This window comes from Homo sapiens, chromosome 12, assembly GCF_000001405.40.
Source record: "Homo sapiens chromosome 12, GRCh38.p14 Primary Assembly".
In the NCBI taxonomy this organism is placed as follows: domain Eukaryota; kingdom Metazoa; phylum Chordata; class Mammalia; order Primates; family Hominidae; genus Homo; species Homo sapiens.
In genome coordinates, this window is record NC_000012.12 from 56,492,194 (window position 1) to 56,514,505 (window position 22,312).

A 22,312-nucleotide genomic window follows, 5' to 3' on the forward strand; every position below is an offset into this window, starting at 1 on the left:
AAATACAAAAATTAGCCAGGCGTGGTGGCATGCACCTGTAATCTCAGCTACTCAGGAGGCTGAGGCAGGAGAATCAGTTGAACCTGGGAGGCAGAGGTTGCAGTGAGCCAAGATCGCGCCACTGCACTCCAGCCTGGGTGACAGCGAGACTCCATCTCAAAAAAAAAAAAAAAAAAAAAAAAAAGAATGGGGACCAATGAAACTGAGGATGTAGGTATGGGATGCATGTTTTAACTTGATGCTAGACTTTCATGGAGTAAATGAAATTTAATAAAAGTTTAAGCGTGTCTGTGATCTACTCCAGTGTGCTTTCCTAATTCTTCTTTGGTTTAGCAATAACAAAATGAACATTTATAGGACTGAAAAAATATAAATATAAGCCTATTAAAAAACATATCATCACACTGGTCCATTTACGATGCCTAACATGCATTTTCTCTATTTTTCCAAATAATATCTTGTATAATCTGGGTTCTCCAATAGCTATTAAAGTAGATTCTAGCAAGTCTTAATCAACAAAATATACTAAAATAATGTAGATTTTGCTAGAATTCCTAAAAAGGATTTAGAAAAGTCTGTAGGCGAAAGCTAATTTGAAGGAATTTGAAAGCCTTTGCCAACACAGCAAGAAGAAAATACCTTCGGGGTTTGCTTGATAGCATTTTCTTTTTTCTTTTTTCCCTTCTCCAAGTTATTGCTAGAGAAATAGTATTTTAATACTTGTTTTTCTTTGACTTAAAGACTATGAAAGATGTCAGAATCTTGTATTACTCTGTAGTGAACAAATGAGACCCTTCTCTAAAAGACTAGGTTAAATTAACTTTTAACCACATTTACCTAAGTGAAATGCTCCATAAGCCATATTTTATTAAGATTGTATATAATTTGAAATTTTTTACATCACCTACTTTGACCTGTCAGTTTGCAAAAAAACTGTCATTCTAGTTTTCTGATTTTCAGGAAAGTTTTTTTTTTTTTTTAACTGTATGAATTTTCTTTTTTTTTTTTTTTTTAAGTATTTATTGATCATTCTTGGGTGTTTCTCGGAGAAGGGGATGTGGCAGGGTCATAGGATAATAGTGGAGAGAAGGTCAGCAGATAAACATGTGAACAAAGGTCTCTGGTTTTCCTAGGCAGAGGTCCCTGCAGCCTTCCACAGTGTTTGTGTCCCTGGGTACTTGAGATTAGGGAGTGGTGATGACTCTTAATGTGCATGCTGCCTTCAAGCATCTGTTTAACAAAGCACATCTTGCACCGCCCTTAATCCATTTAACCCTGAGTTGACACAGCACATGTTTCAGAGAGCACGGGGTTCGGGTAAGGTTATAGATTAACAGCATCCCAAGGCAGAAGAATTTTTCTTAGTACAGAACAAAATGGAGTCTCCTATGTCTACTTCTTTCTACAGACACAGTAACAATCTGATCTTTCTTTTCCCCACATTTCTCCCTTTTCTTTTCGACAAAACCGCCATCGTCATCATGGCCCGTTCTCGATGGTCGCTGTCTCTTCAGAGCTGTTGGGTACACCTCCCAGACGGGGCGGCTGGGCAGAGTCGCTCCCCACTTCCCAGACGGGGTGGCTGGGCAGAGGTGCTCCTCACTTCCCAGAGGGGGCGGCCGGGCAGAGGCGCTCCTCACTTCCCAGAGGGGGCGGCCGGGCAGAGGCGCTCCTCACTTCCCAGAGCGGGTGGCCAGGCAGAGGTGCTCCTCACTTCCCAGATGGGGCAGCCGGGCAGAGGCGCTCCTCAATTCCTAGACAGGGTGGCGGCTGGGCAGAGGTGCTCCTCACTTCCCAGATGGGGCGACCAGGCAGAGATGCTCCTCACTTCCCAGACGGGGCGGCCGGGCAGAGGCGCTCCCCACTTCCCAGACAGGGCGGCCGGGCAGAGGCACTCCCCACTTCCCAGACGGGGCAGCTGGGCAGAGACGCTCACTTCCCAGATGGGGCGGCTCCCAGAGGGGGTGGCGGCTGGGCAGAGGCACTCCCCACTTCCCAGACGGGGCAGCTGGGCAGAGGCGCTCCCCACTTCCCAGACGGGGCGGCTGGGCAGAGATGCTCACTTCCCAGATGGGGCGGCTCCCAGAGGGGGTGGCAGCTGGGCAGAGGCGCTCCTCACATCCCAGACGATGGCCAGGCAGAGGCACTCCCCACTTCCCAGACGGGGCAGCCGGGCAGAGGCGCTCCCCACTTCCCAGACGGGGCGGCTGGGCAGAGATGCTCACTTCCCAGATGGGGCGGCTCCCAGAGGGGGTGGCAGCTGGGCAGAGGCGCTCCCCACTTCCCAGACGAGGTGGCCGGGCAGAGGCGCTCCCCACTTCCCAGACGGGGCGGCCGGGCAGAGGCGCTTCCCACTTCCCAGACGGGGAGGCCGGGCAGAGACGCTCCTCACTTCCCAGACGGGGCGGCTCCCAGAGGGGGCGGCGGCTGGGCAGAGGCGCTCCTCACATCCCAGACGGGGCGGCCGGGCAGAGGCCATCCCCACTTCCCAGACAGGGTGGCGGCCGGGCAGAGGTGCTCCTCACATCCCAGACGGGGCAGCCGGGCAGAGGCGCTCCTCACCTCCCAGACAATGGGTGGCCGGGCAGAGGCGCTCCTCACCTCCCAGATGGGGCGGCAGGGCAGAGGTGCTCCTCACTTCCCAGACAGGGTGGCCGGGCAGAGGCACTCCTCACTTCCTCCCAGACGGGGCGGCCAGGCAGAGGCGCTCCTCACTTCCCAGACGATGGGCGGCCGGGCAGAGGCACTCCTCACTTCCTAGATGGGGTGGTGGCTGGGCAGAGGCTGTAATCTTAGTACTTTGGGAGGCCAAGGCAGGCGGCTGGGAGGTGGAGGTTGTAGCGAGCTGGGATCATGCCACTGCACTCCAGCCTGGGCAACATTGAGCATTGAGTGAGCGAGACTCCGTCTGCAATCCCAGCACCTCGGGAGGCCGAGGCGGGCAGATCACTTTATACTACATATAAAATTTCTGTGATAGTTATTAACAGTACTGGTACTTGATTTCAAATTTCTCTGAAATATCATCTTAGTTTTGTTTTTAAATTATTATTAAACAAGTCCCTTACTGGTGAATATTTGTGTTACTTTCCTTTTTTTTGTTGTTTTTTTTTTTGAGATGGAGTTTTACTCTTGTTGCCCAGGCTGGAGTGCAATGGTGCCACCTTGGCTCACCACAACGTCCGCCTCCTGGGTTCCAGCAACTCTCCTGCCTCAACCTCCTGAGTAGCTGGGATTACAGGCGCCCACCAATATGCCTGGCTAATTTTTGGTATTTTTAGTAGATATGAGTTTTCTCCATGTTGGTCAGGCCGGCCTTGAACTCCCAACCTCAGGTGATCCACCCGCCTCAGCCTTCCAAAGTGCTGGGATTACAGGCATGAGGCCACGGAGCCTGGCCTCCATTTTTTATTATTGCTAGAATCACCATATTTCCTGGCTTGCCTGGAACAGTATGAAACATATTCTTATGTTTATAGCAGAATTAGGCCGGACGCAGTGGCTCACGCCTGTAACCCCAGCACTTTGGGAGGCTGAGGTGGGCGGATTACCTGAGGTCAGGAGTTCGAGACCAGTATGGCAAACATGGTGAAACCCCGTCTCTTCTAAAAATACAAAAAATTAGCCAGACGTGGTGCCGCACACCTGTAATCCCAGCTACTCGGGAGGTTGAGGCAGGAGAATTGCTTGAACCCGGGGGGCAGAGGTTGCAGTGAGCCAAGATCACGCCACTGCACTCCAGCTGGGCGACAGAGTGAGACTCTATCTAAAAAAAAAAAAAAAAAAAAAAACTGCTTAAAGAACTCTATAGAATCACAATCTTTAACAGAATTATTATTATTTAATATAGAAGCACAAGCAGGGGAAAAATACGTCATCAAAATTTTCAAGTAGTCAACTCATTATTGGAGCCATTTTATTTTATAATTTTATTTATTCAGCTGGTTCAGAATTCAAAAGGGCATGTAATGAAGTCGCTATCCTGCTTCTGTTTCCCAGCTATCCAGCTTCCCTCCCTGGAGGCAAACAGTGTCATTGGTTTTCAATATATCCTTCCAGATGTATGTTATCCGTATCTAAGCAGTTATATTTATTCTTACTTCGCATAAATGGCAGCATGCTATAAGCACTGTTTTGTATTTTGCCTTTAACAATTTTTATTATACATCTTGGAGAACTTTCCAAATCAGTACATAATGTGCTTCCTTTTATTCCTTCATAGTATTCTATTGTCTGGATGTATTATAATTATTTAACAAATTCCCTATTGGTGAATATTTGTCATTATTGCTAGAATGACCGTATTTCCTTGTTTGCCTGGGACATTCTAAGCTCATGCCACTTGTCCCAGCTTATTTATTTATTTATTTATTTGATGTGGGCGGCAAGCCACCCAGGCACCGAGGCAAGAGACAGAGGACACGAGCTGTTCCAGTATAATAAAATATAAAACAAGAATAGTTATACCAGATATAGATCTTAGATATGATTATATATGAATATCATTAATCATTAGTTTGTAGCAATTACTTTTTATTCCAATATTATGATAATCCTCGCTCTATAATCATAGCCTAGGAAAAACCACGCCATACAGAGATAGGAGCTGAGGGGACATAGTGAGGTGTGACCAGAAGACAAGAGTGCGAGCCTTCTGTTATGCCCGGACAGGGCCACCAGAGGGCTCCTTCGTCTAGCGGTGACGCCAGCGTCTGGGAAGACGCCCGTTATCAGGGGGATCGTGGTCCAGCGGTAGCAAAGGTGTCAAGGAACAACACCCGCTACTTAGCAGACCGGGAAGCGGGGGGGGGGGAGGTCTCCCTTTCCCCAGGGGAGTTTAGAGAAGACTCTGCTCCTCCACCTCTTGTGGAGGGCCTGACATCAGTCAGGCTTGCCCGAAGTTATCGGGAGGCCTAACCGTCTCCCTGTGATGCTGTGCTTCACTAGTCGCACTCCTAGTCTGCCTTCATGTTCCATCCTGTACACCTGGCTCTGCCTTCCAGATAGCAGTAGTAAATTAGTGAAAATACTAATAGTCCCTGATATGCAGAAATAATGATGTAAGCTGTCTCTCTCTCTGCTTCCTCTCCCTCTCTGCCTCAGCTGCCAGGCAGGGAAGGGCCCCCTGTCCAGTGGACACGTGACCCACGTGACCTTACCTATCATTGGAGGTGACTCACATTCTTTACCCTGCCCCTTCTGCCTTGTATCCAATAAATAACAGCGCAGCCAGACATTCGGGGCCACTACCGGTGTCCGCGCATTGGTGGTAGTGGTCCCCCGGGCCCAGCTGCCTTTTCTCTTGTCTCTTTGTCTTGTGTCTTTATTTCTACACTCTCTCATCGCTGCACACAGGGAGAGACCTACCGACCCTGTGGGGCTGGTCCCTACATCGGGGCTGAGAGTTGACGAATGCCCCATTGTTTAGAGGGGCCTGGGGCCGGCCCCTCATCCTGTTTCCCTGATTTTTAAAAGGCCGTAAAGGATGGCCATCAATATCAAATCTGAAATGGCATTGAGATGCCCAGTGAAGACCCTTTTGGCATCGTGGGCATACAGTAGAAGGTGGGGCATCTTGTTGCTGAAAAGTTTTTTGTTGTTGTTGTTGGTGATGTAAAGGATGGCGACCTGCACGCCGAGGGCAATTTCTTTTTGCATGTCCATTCTGGCCGCATATGAAGCATTGGCCAGAGAATTGTCCAGGCATTCGAATAGAGGCCATAGCTTGTGCCATAATCATTGCTGTATGGAGAGTTCCTCCCACCCCTTCACAGGCTTTAATGTAGGAGGTGAGTATATCACCACCTGGTGGAATTTTACCTTTGACGGGGCGAATAGCCGCCTGACAATCTGGATTTGCTTGTTCATAAGCCATAAGTTCTACAACAAGTCTTTGGCCGTGGCTATCAGGAATAGCCTTTTCTGCTGCGTCTTGAAGATGAGCAATAAAGTCTGGGTAGGGCTCATGTTGTCCCTGTCTGACGGCTGTGAAAGATGGGCATACTTTACCATCATCTTGAATTTTGTCCCAAGCATCTAAGCAACATTTTCGCAGTTGTTCAATAACCTCATCATTTAGTATAGTTTGGTGTCGGATTGCAGCCCATTGACCCATTCCCAGTAACTGGTCAGCCGTAACGTTAACAAGAGGATTAGAGCCCTGATTAAGACGAATGCGTTCCTGGACAGCATCAACCCACCAAGTCCTGAATTGTAAATATTGGGATTTAGATAAGACTGATTTTGCCAAAATTTCCCAATCATAGGGTACCAAACGTTTATCTTCTGCTAAGGCTTTTAATGTGGAATGGACAAAAGGAGAGTTGGTGCCATATTGTTTCACTGATTCCTTAAAATCTTTGAGGAATTTAAAAGAAAAACTTTCCTATGTAGCAGGGCGTAGCTGAACCTGGCCTGGATGGATGGTGTCAGGCTGAATTACCGCCTGAACAGCGGGAATGCCAGGTATTGGCTGTGCCCCAGGAGCAGGCAATTGCAGAGCCTGATTATTTACCCAAGCAGCCGATTCTCAGGCTGAGGGGCTTAATTGTCAGCCTCTTGATCTTGTTGAGCTGTGGGGTCAGCCGCCTGCTGGGCAGGATCAACAACAGGCTGTGGGTGGTTTTGTACTGCTGGGGTGGCAGGTACTGGGGGTTGTAAAATTACAGGAAATTGCCAAGCTTCGGGATCCCCATATTCCCTTGCCTGAACTATAGCCCTCGTAAGCAGAGTGTCATCTTCAGGGATGTATGTAATTTGTTGCTTATGAGCGGCAATGGTAGTATTGGCAACAGCAGTTGCGACCAGACCAGGAGCAGAAAAAGAGGTAGAATTTTGAATAGAAGGAGAGTCGAAAAACTGAAAGCCAGGGTGAGAGCAGATTACCTGCTGAGCAGGTCTTTCATGGGCCTGAAAACCAGGCTGCCACGGCAAGTGTGAACCAGGCTTCAAGGGAGCCTGTGACTCTAACTGAGTCCAATTTGTAGGAAAGGATCCAGGCTTCAAGGGAGCCTGTGACTCTACCCGAGTCTGATTTGTAGAAAAGGGACCAGGCTTCAAGGGAGCCTGTGACTCTAACTGAGTCTGATTTGTAGGAAAGGATCCAGGCTTTAAGGGAGCCTGTGACTCTAACTGAGTCCGATTAGGAGGAAAAGAACCAGGCTTCAAGGGAGCCTGTGACTCTACCCAAGTCTGATTTATAGGAAAGGAACCAGGCTTCAAGGGAGCCTGTGACTCTAACTGAGTCCGATTTGTGGGAAGGGAACCAGGCTTCAAGGGAGCCTGTGACTCTACCCGAGTCTGATTTATAGGAAAGGAACCAGGCTTCAAGGGAGCCTGTGACTCTACCCGAGTCTGATTTATAGGAAAGGAACCAGGCTTCAAGGGAGCCTGTGACTGTAACTGAGTCCGATTTGCAGGAAAGGAACCAGGCTTCAAGGGAGCCTGTGACTCTGAGTCCGATTTGCAGAGAATGGACCAGGCTTCAAGGGAGCCTGTGACTCTACCCGAGTCTGACTTATAGGAAAGGAACCAGGCTTCAAGGGAGCCTGTGACTCTACCCGAGTCTGATTTATAGGAAAGGGACCAGGCTTCAAGGGAGCCTGTGACTCTGAGTCCGATTAGAAGAAATAGGATTGAGGGCCTCATTACCGGGCCGAGAATTGGAAGCCTCTTTTCCAAGCTGTTCATATAGCGGAGCCTCTGTACCGGGCTGCATAGAAACGTAATTTATAGACTCGTTTACAGGCTGCCTGGTCTCATCTGCTATTTGCACGGCGGCAGTGTTGAAAGAGTGAGGAGAGACAGGAGGGTCTGGCCGCAATGGCTGTTGATATGTTTCAGCTGAGTTTTGCTGATTGGGGAGATAAGTACATTTAGGTCAGTTAAAAGATCATCATAAAGCGGCAATGGGGGTGCAGTGGCCTCTGGCGTAGGTGGCGGTGGCGCAGGCATGTCAGAGTGGAAGTCCTCCTTTGAAATTACGTTCTCAATTTGTGCAGTATCATCAGGGGAAAGAGAGCTGAGAGCTTCCTCGACCTCCTCAGAGGAGAGGAAAGAGGGATCAGTCTCCATATTGTCCTCCTGAGTCTATAAGGAGTCTAAGACAGAGCGAACCGAAGCCCAGATTGACCAAATGGTGGGTGGGATAAAATGTCCCCCTTTATGAGCAATTTTGAATTGTTTGCCAATCTCATCCCAATCTTTAAGTTCTGGAGTTCCCTGAGTCGGAAACCAAGGGCAAAGAAGATCTACAACCTCAAATAGTTCAATTAACTTTTCAGTAGAAACTTTAACACCTCCTTCTTTAAGAAGAGTTTTTATAAAATTTAAATAAGCCGAATACTTTGTACTGGCCTGTCCCATGGTGTCCCCGGAAAACTCTGAGTGCTCAAGCTTACCACCAAGTTTATTGACTGCAATCCTCAGGAATCTCTCGTTGAACTCCTCCGCTGATCCCGCACTCAGGGCGCAACTTCACACAGCGAGGGAGAGCCCCACGTCGGAGCGCCAGATGTAGGGACCAGCCCCACAGGGTCGGTAGGTCTCTCCCTGTGTGCGGCGATGAGAGAGTGTAGAAATAAAGACACAAGACAAAGAGACAAGAGAAAAGGCAGCTGGGCCCGGGGGACCACTACCACCAATGCGCAGACACCGGTAGTGGCCCCGAATGTCTGGCTGCGCTGTTATTTATTGGATACAAGGCAGAAGGGGCAGGGTAAAGAATGTGAGTCACCTCCAATGATAGGTAAGGTCACGTGGGTCACGTGTCCACTGGACAGGGGGCCCTTCCCTGCCTGGCAGCTGAGGCAGAGAGGGAGAGGAGACAGAGAGAGAGACAGCTTACATCATTATTTCTGCATATCAGGGACTATTAGTATTTTCACTAATTTACTACTGCTATCTGGAAGGCAGAGCCAGGTGTACAGGATGGAACATGAAGGCAGACTAGGAGTGCGACTACTGAAGCACAGCATCACAGGGAGACGGTTAGGCCTCCCGATAACTTCGGGCAAGCCTGACTGATGTCAGGCCCTCCACAAGAGGTGGAGGAGCAGAGTCTTCTCTAAACTCCCCTGGGGAAAGGGAGACCCCCCCCCCCGCCCCGCCCTTTCCCGGTCTGCTAAGTAGCGGGTGTTGTTCCTTGACACCTTTTGCTACCGCTGGACCACGATCCTCCTGATAACGGGCGTCTTCCCAGACGCTGGCGTCACCGCTAGACCAAGGAGCCCTCTGGTGGCCCTGTCCGGGCATAACAGAAGGCTCGCACTCTTGTCTTCTGGTCACACCTCACTATGTCCCCTCAGCTCCTATCTCTGTATGGCGTGGTTTTTCCTAGGCTATGATTATAGAGCGAGGATTATCATAATATTGGAATAAAAATTGCTACAAACTAATGATTAATGATATTCATATACAATCATATCTAAGATCTATATCTGGTATAACTATTCTTGTTTTATATTCTATTATACTGGAACAGCTCGTGTCCTCTGTCTCTTGCCTCGGTGCCTGGGTGGCTTGCTGTCCACAATTTGAGATGGTGTCTTGCTCTGTTGCCCAGGCTGGAGTGCAGTGGCACCATCTTGTCTTCTTGCAACCTCTACCTCCTGAGTTCAAGCAATTCTCCTGCCTCAGCCTCCTGAGTAGCTGGGACTATAGGCATGAGCCACCACACCCGGTTAACTTTTGTATTTTTAGTGGGGACAGAGTTTCACCATGTTGACCAGGCTGGTCTCGAACTCCTGACCTCAAGTGATCCACCCACCTCAGCTTCCCAAAGTACTGGAATCACAGGCTTGAGCCACCACACCCAGCCCCAGCTTGTATATGAATACTGTCCTCTTTCTGTTCCAACAGTATTCCAATTTGGGTAATATATGTTTTATGGTTACCTTAGTTATTACAGACAGTGCTGCAGTAAATAAGCTTGTATATCTTGTCATTTTGCAAGTTTGCAAATATAACTGTAGGATAAATTTCTAAAAGTATAATTGATGTGTCAAAGAGTATATATATTTGTAATTTTTAAAGATGTTGACAAATTGCCGTCCATACTGGTCATGCCATTTTTCAGTTTTACCAGCAATGTAGTAGAGTGCCTGTTTTTCCTCCCTCACTTCAGTTGGTTATCACTTTTTTTTTTTTTGAGATGGAGTCTCTCTCTGTTGCCCAGGCTGGAGTGCAGTGACACGATCTTAGCTCACTGCAACCTCTATTTCCCGGGTTCAAGTTATTCTCCTGCCTCAGCCTCCCAAGTAGCTGAGATTACAGGTATGTATCACCACACCCGGCTAACTTTTTTTTTGTATTTTTAGTAGAGATGGGGTTTCGCCATGTTGACCAGGCTGGTCTCGAACTCCTGACCTCAGGTGCTCCGCCTGCCTCGGCCTCCCAAAGTGCTGGGATTACAGGCGTGAGCCACCGTGGCTGGCCGGTTATCACTTTTTTTGTGTGCTTGCCATGCCAGTAGGTGTAATATGCTATTTCAGTATTGTATTTTTATTTTTATTTATTTATTTTTTTTTGAGATGGAGTTTCGCTCTTGTTGCCCAGGCTGGAGTGCAGTGGCGAGATCTCGCCTCACTGCAACCTCCGCCTCCCGGGTTCAAGCAGTTCTCCTGCCTCGGCCTCCTGAGTAGCTGGGATTTCAGGCAAGCGCCACCACGCCTGGCTAATTTTGTATTTTTAGTGGAGATGGGGTTTCTCTATGTTGGTCAGGCTGGTTTCGAACTCCTGACCTCAAGTGATCCACCCGCCTTCCAAAATGCTGGGATTACAGGCATGAGCCACCGCGCCCGACTTATCTCAGTATTGTTTTTATTTCACTTTTTAAAAATTATGAATGAGGTTGAACATCTTTTATATATTTAAGAACCATTGGTGTTTCCTTTTTTATGAAGTGTTTATTCCTATGTTTTGTCCATTTATCTGTTGGATATTAAAATTTTTAAGTTTTATTATTATTATTATTATATATATTTTTAAGAGACAGGGTCTTGCTCTGTCACCCAGGCTAGAGTGCAATGGTGAGATCATAGCTCACTGTAATCTCAAACTCCTAGACTCAATTGATCTTCCTGCCTCAACCTCCTAGGTAGTTAAGACTGCAGGTGAATGCCACCACACCCAGCTAATTTTTGTATTTTGTGTGTGTGTGTGTGTGTGGAGAGGGGATCTTGCTGTGTTGTCCAGGCTGGTTTTTCAAATTTCTAGCGTCAAGTGATCCTCCTGCCTCAGTCTCTCAAAGCGCTGGGATTACAGGTGTGAGCCACTGTGCCTGGCCAGATATTAGGCTTTTAATATGTGTTTTTAGGAACTTTTCTTTTTCTTTTTCTTTTTTTTTTTTTTTTTTAGACGGAGTCTCACTCTGTCGCCCAGGCTGGAGTGCAGTGGTACGATCTCGGCTCACTGCAAGCTCCGCCTCCCGGGTTCACGCCATTCTCCTGCCTCAGCCTCCCGAGTAGCTGGGACTCCAGGCGCCCACCACCACGCCCGACTATTTTTTTTTTTTTTTTTGTATTTTTAGTAGAGACGGGGTTTCACCGTGTTAGCCAGGATGATCTCGATCTCCTCACCTCGTGATCCACCCGCCTTGGCCTCCCAAAGTGCTGGGATTACAGGCGTGAGCCACTGCGCCCGGCTGGAACTTTTTGGAAATTAGCTCTTTATGAAATGAGTTGCATACATTCTCCCCTCCCTGCTAGTTTATCATTTGACTTTGGTTTTCCATTTGTGGATTTGTTTGCCATGTAGAAATGTTTTCTCTTTATGTGGTCAGGTCAGCTTTCTTTTTTCTTTTCTTCTTTTTTTTTTCTTTTTTTGAGACCGGGTCTCACTCTGCCACCCAGGCTGGAGTGCAGTGGCGCCATCATGGCTTACTGCAGCCTCGACCTCCAAGGGGTTAGGTGATCTTTCCACCTCAGACTCCTGGGTAGCTGGGAGTACAGGTGTACACCACCACGCCCAGCTAATTTTTTGTATTTTTTTTAGAGACAGCGTTTTGCCACGTTGCTCAGGCTGGAGACTTACCATCTCTACAATGACAAAAAAATCCATTGTTCAGCTAGAGGTTCACATGTGATCCTTTATTTCTCCTGCTTCCATATCCTTTACATCCGATAATGGGACTCAAATCCATCCACTTCTCATTCCCATTGCTACTATCTTAGTGAGGCTTCTTAATTTAGGTCTCCCATCAGTTTTACTCCCTTCCATTCGTTACAGTATAGCCACAAGTGGTCTTGCAGAAATGCAAATCTGATTATGTTGCTTTTTAAATATAACCCAGTGGCCAGGCGCGGTGGCTCACACCTGTAATCCCAGCACTTTGGGAGGCCGAGATGGGCGGATCACGAGGTGAGGAGATCAAGACCATCCTGGCTAACACGGTGAAACCCCGTTTCTACTAAAAATACAAAAAATTAGCCGGCCGTGGTGGCGGGCGCCTGTAGTCCCAGCTACTCGGGAGGCTGAGGCAGGAGAATGGCATGAACCTGGGAGGCGGAGCTTGCAGTGAGCCTAGATGGCGCCACTGCACTCCAGCCTGGGCGACAGAGCGAGACTCTGTCTCAAAAAAAATAAAATAAAATAAAATAAAAAATAAATATAACCCAGTAGTAATTTCCCAACTCTAACATAACTTGGAATACAATTAAAAGTGAGTGGAGAAAAACAAATGAGAGATGAGGACATACAGTTAGCAAATGTAGATTACTCTTGATTATGGGGAAAACTAAGAATATCTACAGAAGAACATAGGGTACAGGGAAGGGCTTTTGTTTATTTGTTTTTTATGTATGTTTTCATCTCTCTTTTAATTTTAATTTTTTTTTTTGAGACGGAGTCTCGCTCTGTTGCTCCAGAGTGCAGTAGCACCATCTCGGCTCACTGCAACCTCCACCTCCCGGGTTCAAGCGATTCTTCTGCCTCAGCCTCTTGAGTAGCTGGAACTACAGGCGAGCACCACCACGCCCGGCTAATTTTTGTATTTTTAGTAGAGATGGGATTTCACCATACTGGCCAGGCTGGTCTCGAACTCCTGACTTCATGATCCACCCACCTCAGCCTCCCAAAGTGCTGGGATTACAGGGGTGAGCCACCACTTCTGGCCCTATCTTGTCTTTTTAAAAGGTCATCATGTATCCACATGTGGAGGAGGAAAGCCAGTAGAGATATCAAGGTTGAAGATAGCAGATAAATATGATATGCTAAGAATGCAGAGTGAAATAATGAGGTAGAAAACTTAGAGTGGTAAATGTTTAGAACAGCTATAGTAAAGACTAGGAGAGGGCACTAACTCTAGAGTGTTGTAGGAATGCTGGGAAATACTGAGATTTTGATGAGATTAGAGATTTTGTACTTTAAATACTGACATAGAAAAAAATATATACAGATTTTATGCGAAGTACTATTGAAGTACTTTTATGTGGCAGTACTTTGAAGACTTCAGTCTTCAAAGAACAGATTTTCCAAGAAATAAAAAGAGAAGGAACACTTCACAACTTGTTTTGTGAAGCTATTGTAAACTTTAAACCCAGAACTAGACAAGGACAGTATAAGAAAAGTAAGATATAGACCAATTTTATATAAAGAAATAAATGCAAAAGTCATAAAATATTAGAAAATTGAACACACACACGTGGCAAAGTCGTGTTTATCCCAAAGATGCTAGAATGGTGTAATATTAGAAAACATGTAGTCGCACCACATCAACAGATTAAGAGAGAAAAATCTATATGATCCTCTCAAGTCATTGTAGAAAAATTATTTGATAAATGTCTTTCAAGCAAATATTTTCAAAGCTCTTAGCAAATGAGACAAGAAAAGGAATGTCTAGACCAGGCATCATGGCATATGCCTATAATCCAAGCACTTTTGGAGGCCAAGACCAGCAGATCACTTGAGGACAGGACTTGGAGACCAGCTGGCCAACGTGGAGAAACCCCATCTCTACTAAAAATATAAAAATTAGCTGGGCACGTTGGCGCATACCTGTAATCCTAGCTACTCAGGACACTGAGGCATGAGAATTGCTTGAGCCCGGCAGGCAGAGGTTGCAGTAAGCCGAGGTTGTGGCCACTGCACTCCAGCCTGGGTGACAGAGGGAAACTCTGTCTCAAAAAGAAAAGAAGTGCTGGGCACAGTGACTCACACCTGTAATCTCAGCACTTTGGGAGGCTGAGGCAGGTGGATCATGAGGTCAAGAGATCGAGACCATCCTGGCCAACATGGTGAAACTCCGTCTCTACTAAAAATACAAAAATTAGCTGGGCGTGGTGGCACGTGCCTGTAGTCCCAGCTACTCGGGAGGCTGAGCAGGAGAATCGCTTGAATCTGGGAGGTGGAGGTTGCAGTGAGCCGAGATCATGCCACTGTACTCCAGCCTGGCGACCGAGTAAGACTCCATCTCAAAAAAAAAAAAGAAAGAAAAGAAGAAAAGGAATGTCTAAAACCTGATAGAGTTTATCAGGAACAGGCTTGGTATCACAGCTTCTGTTATATATTTTATTGGAGGCCTTGTTGTCCAATAAGATGTTTTTAAACGTTAAAAGGATTAATAAAAAAGATATAAAAAAGATCTTTTTTTTTTTGAGATGGAGTCTGACTCTGTCGCCCAGGCAGGAGTGCAATGGTGTGATCTCTGCTTACTGCAACCTCTGCCTCCCAAGTTCAAGAAATTCACTGCTTCAGCCTCCTGAGTAGCTGAAATTACAGGTGCCCACCACCACGCCTGGCTAATTTTTTTGTATATTTAGTAGAGACGGGGTTTCACCATCTTGGCCAGGCTGGTCTTGAACTCCTGATCTCGTGATCCACCCGCCTTGGCCTCCCAAAGTGCTGGGATTACAGGCATGAGTCACTGTGCCCAGCCATAAAAAAGATACTGAGTCCAGGAGTTGCTTGAATGCCAGCTAATTTTTGTATTTTTTGTAGAGACAGGGTCTCACCATGTTGCCCAGGCTTGTCTTGAACTCCTGGGCTCAAGCCATCTCGCCCATCTCCGCCTCCCAAAATACTGGGATTACAGGCGTGAGCCACTGTGCCCAGCTGGTTGTTCTGTTTTAACATGGCATATTGTGTTACTTGATTTTTTTTTTTTTTTTTGAGACAGAGTCTTGCTCTGTTGCCCAGGCTGGAGTGCAGTGGCGCGATCTCAGCTCACTGCAAGCTCCACCTCCCGGGTTCATGCCATTCTCCTGCCTCAGCCTCCCAAGTAGCTGGGACTACAGGCGCCTGCCACCACGCCTGGCTAATTTTTGTATTTTTAGTAGAGACGGGGTTTCACCGTGTTAGCCAGGATGGTCTTGATCTCCTGACCTCATGATCTGCCCGCCTCGGCCTCCCAAAGTGCTAGGATTACAGGCGTGAGCCACTGTGCCTGGCCAATTTTTGAACATTTAATTAGCTTTGCATTCCTGGAATAAATCCCACTTGGTCATGGGGTATAAACCTTTTTTATTTTATGTATTTTATTTTATTTTATAACTTATTTTACTTTTAAAAGACAGGTTCTCACCATGTTGTCCAGCCTGGTCTCAAACTCCTGGGCTCAAGTGATCCTCCCACTTTGTCCTCCCAAAATCTTGGGATTACAGGTGTGAGCCACCGCTCCTGGCCTAAACCTTTTATTTTTTTTGAGATGGAGTCTCACTCTGTCACCTAGGCTAGAGTGCAGTGGCACGATCTCAACTCACTGCAACCTCCACCTCCCAGGTTCAAGTGATTCTCATGCCTCAGCCTCCCCAGTAGCTGGGATTACAGATGGGTGGTACCATGCCTGGCTAATTTTTGTATTTTTAGTAGAGATGGGGTTTCACCATGTCAGCCAGGCTGGTCTCGACTCCTGACTTCATGTGATCTGCCCACCTCGGCCTCCCAAAGTGCTGGGATTTCAGGTGTGAGCCACTGTGCCTGGCTGCCTAAAGCTTTTTTGTTTTCTTTTTCTCTTCTCCTTCCTTCCTTCTTCCTTCTTCTTCTCCTCCTCCTCCTCTTCCTCCTCCTCCTCCTCCTCCTTCTCCTCCTCCTTTTCTTCTTCTCTCTCTCTCTCTTCTTTCTTTCAAGATGGAGTTTCACTCTGTTGCCCAGGCTGGAGTGCAGTGGTGCAACCTCAGCTCACTGCAGCCTCCGCCTCCCGGGTTTGAGCGACTCTCATGCCTCAGCCTCCCAAGTAGCTGAGATTACAGGCATGCCCACCATGCCCAGCTAATGTTTTTTCTATTTAGTAGAAAAAGGGTTTCATCATGTTGGTCAGGCTGGTCTCAAACTCCTGACCTCAAATCATCCACCTGCCTCGGCCTCCCAAAGTGCAGGGATTACAGGCGTGAGCCACCATGCCTGGCCCACCTTTTTAAAAAAATATGTTTCTGGGACCGGGTGTGGTGGCTCACGCCTGTAATCCCTGCACTTTGGGAGGCTGAGGCAGGCGGATCACCAGGTCAGGAGTTCAAGACCAGCCTGGCCAAAGTGGTGAAACCCCGTATCTACTAAAAATACAAAAAATCAGCCAGGCGTTGTGGCGTGCACCTGTAATCCCAGCTACTCGGGAGGCTGAGGCAGGAGAAACGCTTGAACCCGGGAGGCGGAGGTTGCAGTGAGCTGAGATTGCGCCACTGCCCTCCAGCCTGGGCAACAGAGCGAGATTCCATCACAAAAAGAAAAAAAGAAATAAGGAACAACAAAAGAGCACCACTTTGCAACCTTTAATAAAGCAGTTGATCAAGGCAATAATTATCAAAGGCTGCTAAAACCATTATATTAAAAATTGATTGTGTATCACAAGAAAGGAAAACTATATACCAATATCTCTTATGAATATAGATGTTAAAAAAAAAACCTTAACAAATTATTAGCAAACTGAATTCAGAAACCTTTTTTTTTTTTTTTTTTTTTTTTTTTTTTTTTTTTTTTGACCGAGTCTTGCTCTGTCGCCCAGGCTGGAATGCAATGGCAGGATCTCCACTCACGGCAACATCCACCTCCCAGGTTCAAGCAAGTCTCCTGCCTCAGCCTCCCGAATAGCTGGGATTACAGGCACGTGCCACCACACCTGGCTGATTTTTTGTATTTTTAGTAGAGACGGGGTTTCACCATGTTGGCCAGGCTGGTCTCGAACTCCTGACCTCGTGATCTGCCCGCCTCGGCCTCCCAAAGTGCTGGGATTACAGGCGTGAGCCACTGCACCCAGCCTATTCCTTATTTCTTTATTATTTTGTATTCATCTATAAAGGAGGATTTTCTTCATCAACTACTTGGTTATTCTGAGAAACAATTCATATAGAAAAGGCAGGCTATATATTCAACTTGTTTTCCTTTATTTGCTAGTTTTAGGAATAGTAAGTTGAGTATGTAATATCCTCTTAAAGATGATCAATTAGGGTTTTGAAAAATTATTATGAACTTACGGATTTTATTAAATTTGGCGTGTTTACATTCTTTGTAGTTATTTTTTTTGATGCTCAAACTGTACCATCTTTGGACAATAGCAACCCACTGAAGTTGATTCTTTTTAAATATTATTCATTTAATTTTTGACTTTTTTCAATAGAGACTGTGTTTCCCAGGCTGGTCTTGAACTCCTGGGCTCAAGCAGACCTCCTGCCTCAGCCTCCTAAAGTGCTAGGATTAGAGGTGTGAGCCCCCATGCCCAGCTTCTAAAGTTGATTCTTGAATCCTTTTGACATACCCCCAGTAGTCTTTGATAGCTTTCTTGCTTACTGCTGTGAAGATGCCTTATATGTACTGTCTCTTTTTATTGTTGCCATTGTATCTTTCGGATCTATTCCTACAAGTGGGACTGTTGGGTTGAAGGGTAAATACACATATAATTTTGGTAGATAGTGTGAAAGGTGTTATTTTATTTTGTCTTTTCACAAGCAATATATGAAAGTGCCCTCCCCGCCTTTTTGTTTGTTTGTTTGTTTGTAGAGACAGGGTTTCGCTCTGTTGCTTATGCTGGAGTGCAGGGGTATGATCTTGGCTCACTGCAGCCTCAAGCTATCCTCCCATCTCACCCTTGTGAGTAGCTAGGTCTACAGGCATATGCCACCGTGCCTGGCTTATTTAAAAACATTTTCTTTTTTTTTTTTTAGAGATGGGGTGTTGCTATATTCCCCAGGCTGAAAGTACCTTTTAACCCACAGTCTCACCAACAGTTTGTTGTGAGCTTCTGGATTTTTGCCAGTCTGGCAGGTGAGAAATGGTATCTCCGTGTAGTTTTGTTTTTGTTTTTGTTTTTGAGACGGAGTCTCGCTCTGTCACCCAGGCCGGAGTGCACTGGCGCGATCTCCGCTCACTGCAAGCTCCGCCTCCCGGGTTCATGCCATTCTCCTGCCTCAGCCTCCCGAGTAGCTGGGACTACAGGCGTCCGCCACCACGCCCGGCTAATTTTTTTTGTATTTTTTAGTTGAGACGGGGTTTCACCGTGTTAGCTAGGGTGGTCTCGATCTTCTGACCTCGTGATCCGCCCGCCTTGGCCTCCCAAAGTGCTGGGATTACAGGCGTGAGCCACCGCGCCCGGCCTACTCCGTGTAGTTTTAATGTGAGCATATTTTTATGTTCAAAATCACATTTTAATAGGTTGGTGATAGCAAACCTGCATTAACATTTAAAGAAGGCAGGCCAAGCATGGTGGCTCATGTTTGTAATCCCAGCACTTTGTAAGGCCAAGGCGGGAGAATCACTTGGGTGCAGAAGTTTGAGACCAGCCTGGGCAACATAGTGAGACCCCATCTCTATAAAAATTTTTAGCCCTCACTCGCCGCCGACGACCTGTCTCGCTGCGTGCACGCCCTGCCGCCGCCCCGCAGAAATGCTTCGGTTACCCACAGTCTTTCGCCAGATGAGACTGGTGTCCAGGGTGCTGGCTCCTCATCTCACTGGGGCTTATGCCAAAGATGTAAAATTCGGTGCAGATGCCCGAGCCTTAATGCTTCAAGGTATAGACCTTTTAGCCGATGCTGTAGCCCTTACAATGGGGCCAAAGGGAAGAAGAACAGTGATTATCGAGCAGAGCTGGGGAAGTCCCAAAGTAACAAAAGATGGTGTGACTGTTGCAAAGTCAATTGACTTAAAGGATAAATATAAAAACATTGGAGCTAAACTTGTTCAAGATGTTGCCAATAACACAAATGAAGAGACTGGGGATGGCCCTACCACTGCTACTGTACTGGCACGCTCTATAGCCAAGGAAGGCATCGAGAAGATTAGCAAAGGTGCTAATCCAGTGGAAATCAGGAGAGGTGTGATGTTAGTTGTTGATGCTGTAATTGCTGAACTTAAAAAGCAGTCTAAACCTGTGACCACCCCTGAAGAAATTGCACAGGTTGCTACAATTTCTGCAAACGGAGACAAAGAAATTGGCAATATCTCTGATGCAATGAAAAAGGTTGGAAGAAAGGGTGTCATCACAGTAAAGGATGGAAAAACACTGAATGATGAATTAGAAATTATTGAAGGCATAAAGTTTGATCGAGGCTATATTTCTCCATACTTTATTAATACATCAAAAGGTCAGAAATGTGAATTCCAGGATGCCTATGTTCTGTTGAGCGAAAAGAAAATTTCTAGTGTCCAGTCCGTTGTACCTGCTCTTGAAATTGCCAATGCTCACCGTAAGCCTTTGGTCATAATCGCTGAAGACGTTGATGGAGAAGCTCTAAGTACACTCGTCTTGAATAGGCTAAAGGTTGGTCTTCAGGATGTGGCAATCAAGGCTCCAGGGTTTGGTGACAATAGAAAGAACCAGCTTAAAGATATGGCAATTGCTACTGGTGGTGCAGTGTTTGGAGAAGAGGGGCTGACCCTAAATCTTGAAGATGTTCAGCCTCATGACTTAGGAAACGTTGGAGAGGTCATTGTGACCAAAGATGATGCCACGCTCTTAAAAGAAAAAGGTGACAAGGCTCAAATTGAAAAACGTATTCAAGAAATCATTGAGCAGTTAGATGTCACAACTAGTGAATATGAAAAGGAAAAACTGAATGAACGGCTGGCAAAACTTTCAGATGTAGTAGCTGTGCTGAAGGTTGGTGGGACAAGTGATGTTGAAGTGAATGAAAAGAAAGACAGAGTTCGGATGCCCTTAATGCTACAAGAGCTGCTGTTGAAGAAGGCTTTGTATTGGGAGGGGGTTGTGCCCTGCTTCGATGCATTCTAGCCTTGGACTCATTGACTCCAGCTAATGAAGATCAAAAAATTGGTACAGAAATTATTAAAGAACACTCAAAATTCCAGCAATGACCATTGCTAAGAATGCAGGTGTTGAAGGATCTTCGATAGTTGAGAAAATTACGCAAATTTCCTCAGAAGCTGGTTATGATGCTATGGTTGGAGATTTTGTGAATATGGTGGAAAAATGAATTATTGACCCAACAAAGGTTGTGAGAACTGCTTTATTGGATGCCGCTGGTGTGACCTCTCTGTTAACTACAGCAGAAGTTGTAGTCACAGAAATTCCTAAAGAAGAGAAGGACCCTGGAATGGGTGCAATGGGTAGAATGGGAGGTGGTATGGGAAGTGGCATGTTCTAACTCCTAGACTAGTGCTTTACCTTTATTAATGAACTGTGACAGGAAGCCCAAGGCAGTGTTCCTCACCAATAACTTCAGAGAAGTCAGTTGGAGAAAAATGAAGAAAAAGGCTGGCTGAAAATCACTATAACCATCAGTTACTGGTTTCAGTTGACAAAATATATAATGGTTTACTGCTGTCATTGTCCATGCCTATAGATAATTTATTTTGTATTTTTGAATAAAAAACATTTGTACATTCCTGATACTGGGTAAAAGAGCCATGTACCAATGTATGGCTTTCAACTTAAATCACTGAGGCATTTTTACTACTATTCTGTTAAAATCAGGATTTTTAGTGCTTGCCACCACCAGATGAGAAGTTAAGCAGCCTTTCTGTGGAGAGTGAGAATAATTGTGTACAAAGTAGAGAAATATCCAATTATGTGACAACTTTTGTGTAATAAAAATTTGTTTAAAGTTAAAAAAATTTTTTTTAATTAGTGAGGCATGGTGGCATGTGCCTGTAGTCCCAGCTACTCAGGAGGCATGGGTGGGAGGATCAGTTGAGCCCAGAATGTCAAGGCTGCAGCGAGGCATAATCAAGGCACTTCACTCCAGCCTGGGCAACGGAGCAAGACCCTATCTCAAAAAAAAAAAAAAAAAAAGAAGTTTGTCTTTAGCAATCTAAAATTTGACAAGTTTGCTTTGACTCTCTAGCTGCAGGTTCATAACCCAAGTTTATAGTAAAAAATAAGATGGATTTGTTATATTCAACATGGTGTAGTAAATATCAAGTATAGGTGAAAAATATATTTCATATTCGTAAAATACTATATAATAAAGTACTTTTATATAGTAAAATACTATATATTAAACAAAGTACTTTATAGTCACCTGATTTGACTGCCTTGATAATCCCTGAGAGATAAGCAGGACTGATACTTATTAGATGCCCATTGAACAGAGTAGTATATTAAGAAGTGTACAGATACTACTTATATGCCCGTTTTGTAGAAGAGGAAACTGATGTTTTAAGAACGTGACTTTCCAGTTTAACACAGCAAGTGGGTGCCCACTTTGTCAGCACATATACTAACACAGCAAGCAGTAGAGCTGGGTTTGAATTTCAAACTTCTGATCTACCCACTACAAATTCTATACTTTCTTTTCCCAGTATTTGCTAAAGGAGACACAACCCGTTTTACCCAGGAGGTGGCAGCGTTTCTCTTACTGTTCTATTTATTGGGCGCTCACTTTCCCACTGAAGGTGAAATACTTAAAAAGTGAAAATTGTATTCTTTCAGTGAATAATCTCGAGTTAAATTATGTTTAGCTGTTAATGATAATAAGATTAGTAAAGTTGGTGCCTGCCTTCTAGGAGTTGACAATCTAGGAGCAAGAGGTGGAGGCGGAACTGTGAAGCAGAGTCCAAAATAGCCTAAAAAGGCCGGCTGTCATGGCTCACACCTGTAATCCCAGCACTTTGGGAGGCTGAGGCAGGCAGATTACTTGAGCTCAGGAGTTTGAGACCAGCCTGGCCAACATGGCAAAACCCCCTCTCTACTAAAAATACAAAAATTAGCCGGGCATGGTAGCATGCACCTGTAATCCCAGCTACTGGGGAGGCTGAGGCAGGAGAATTGCTTGCACCTGGGAGGCAGAGGCTGCATGAGTCGAGATTGTGCTGCTGCACTCCAGCCTGGGCAACAGAGCAATATTCTGTCTCAAAAAAAGAAAATAGGCTATGAAAATTTCAAACAAAGTGTTATAGGAATACAAATTTGTAATGGAGCTCTTGATGT

General features: G+C 45.9%; 1 non-coding gene and 1 pseudogene across 1 annotated transcript; both read left to right on the top strand.

Moving 5' to 3' along the window:
• On the top strand, positions 18,748–20,992 carry HSPD1P4 (heat shock protein family D (Hsp60) member 1 pseudogene 4; annotated as a pseudogene).
• Positions 20,672–20,787, top strand: SNORA105C (small nucleolar RNA, H/ACA box 105C). Its single transcript, NR_132789.1, has one exon. It is a non-coding gene; the product is annotated as a small nucleolar RNA, H/ACA box 105C (small nucleolar RNA).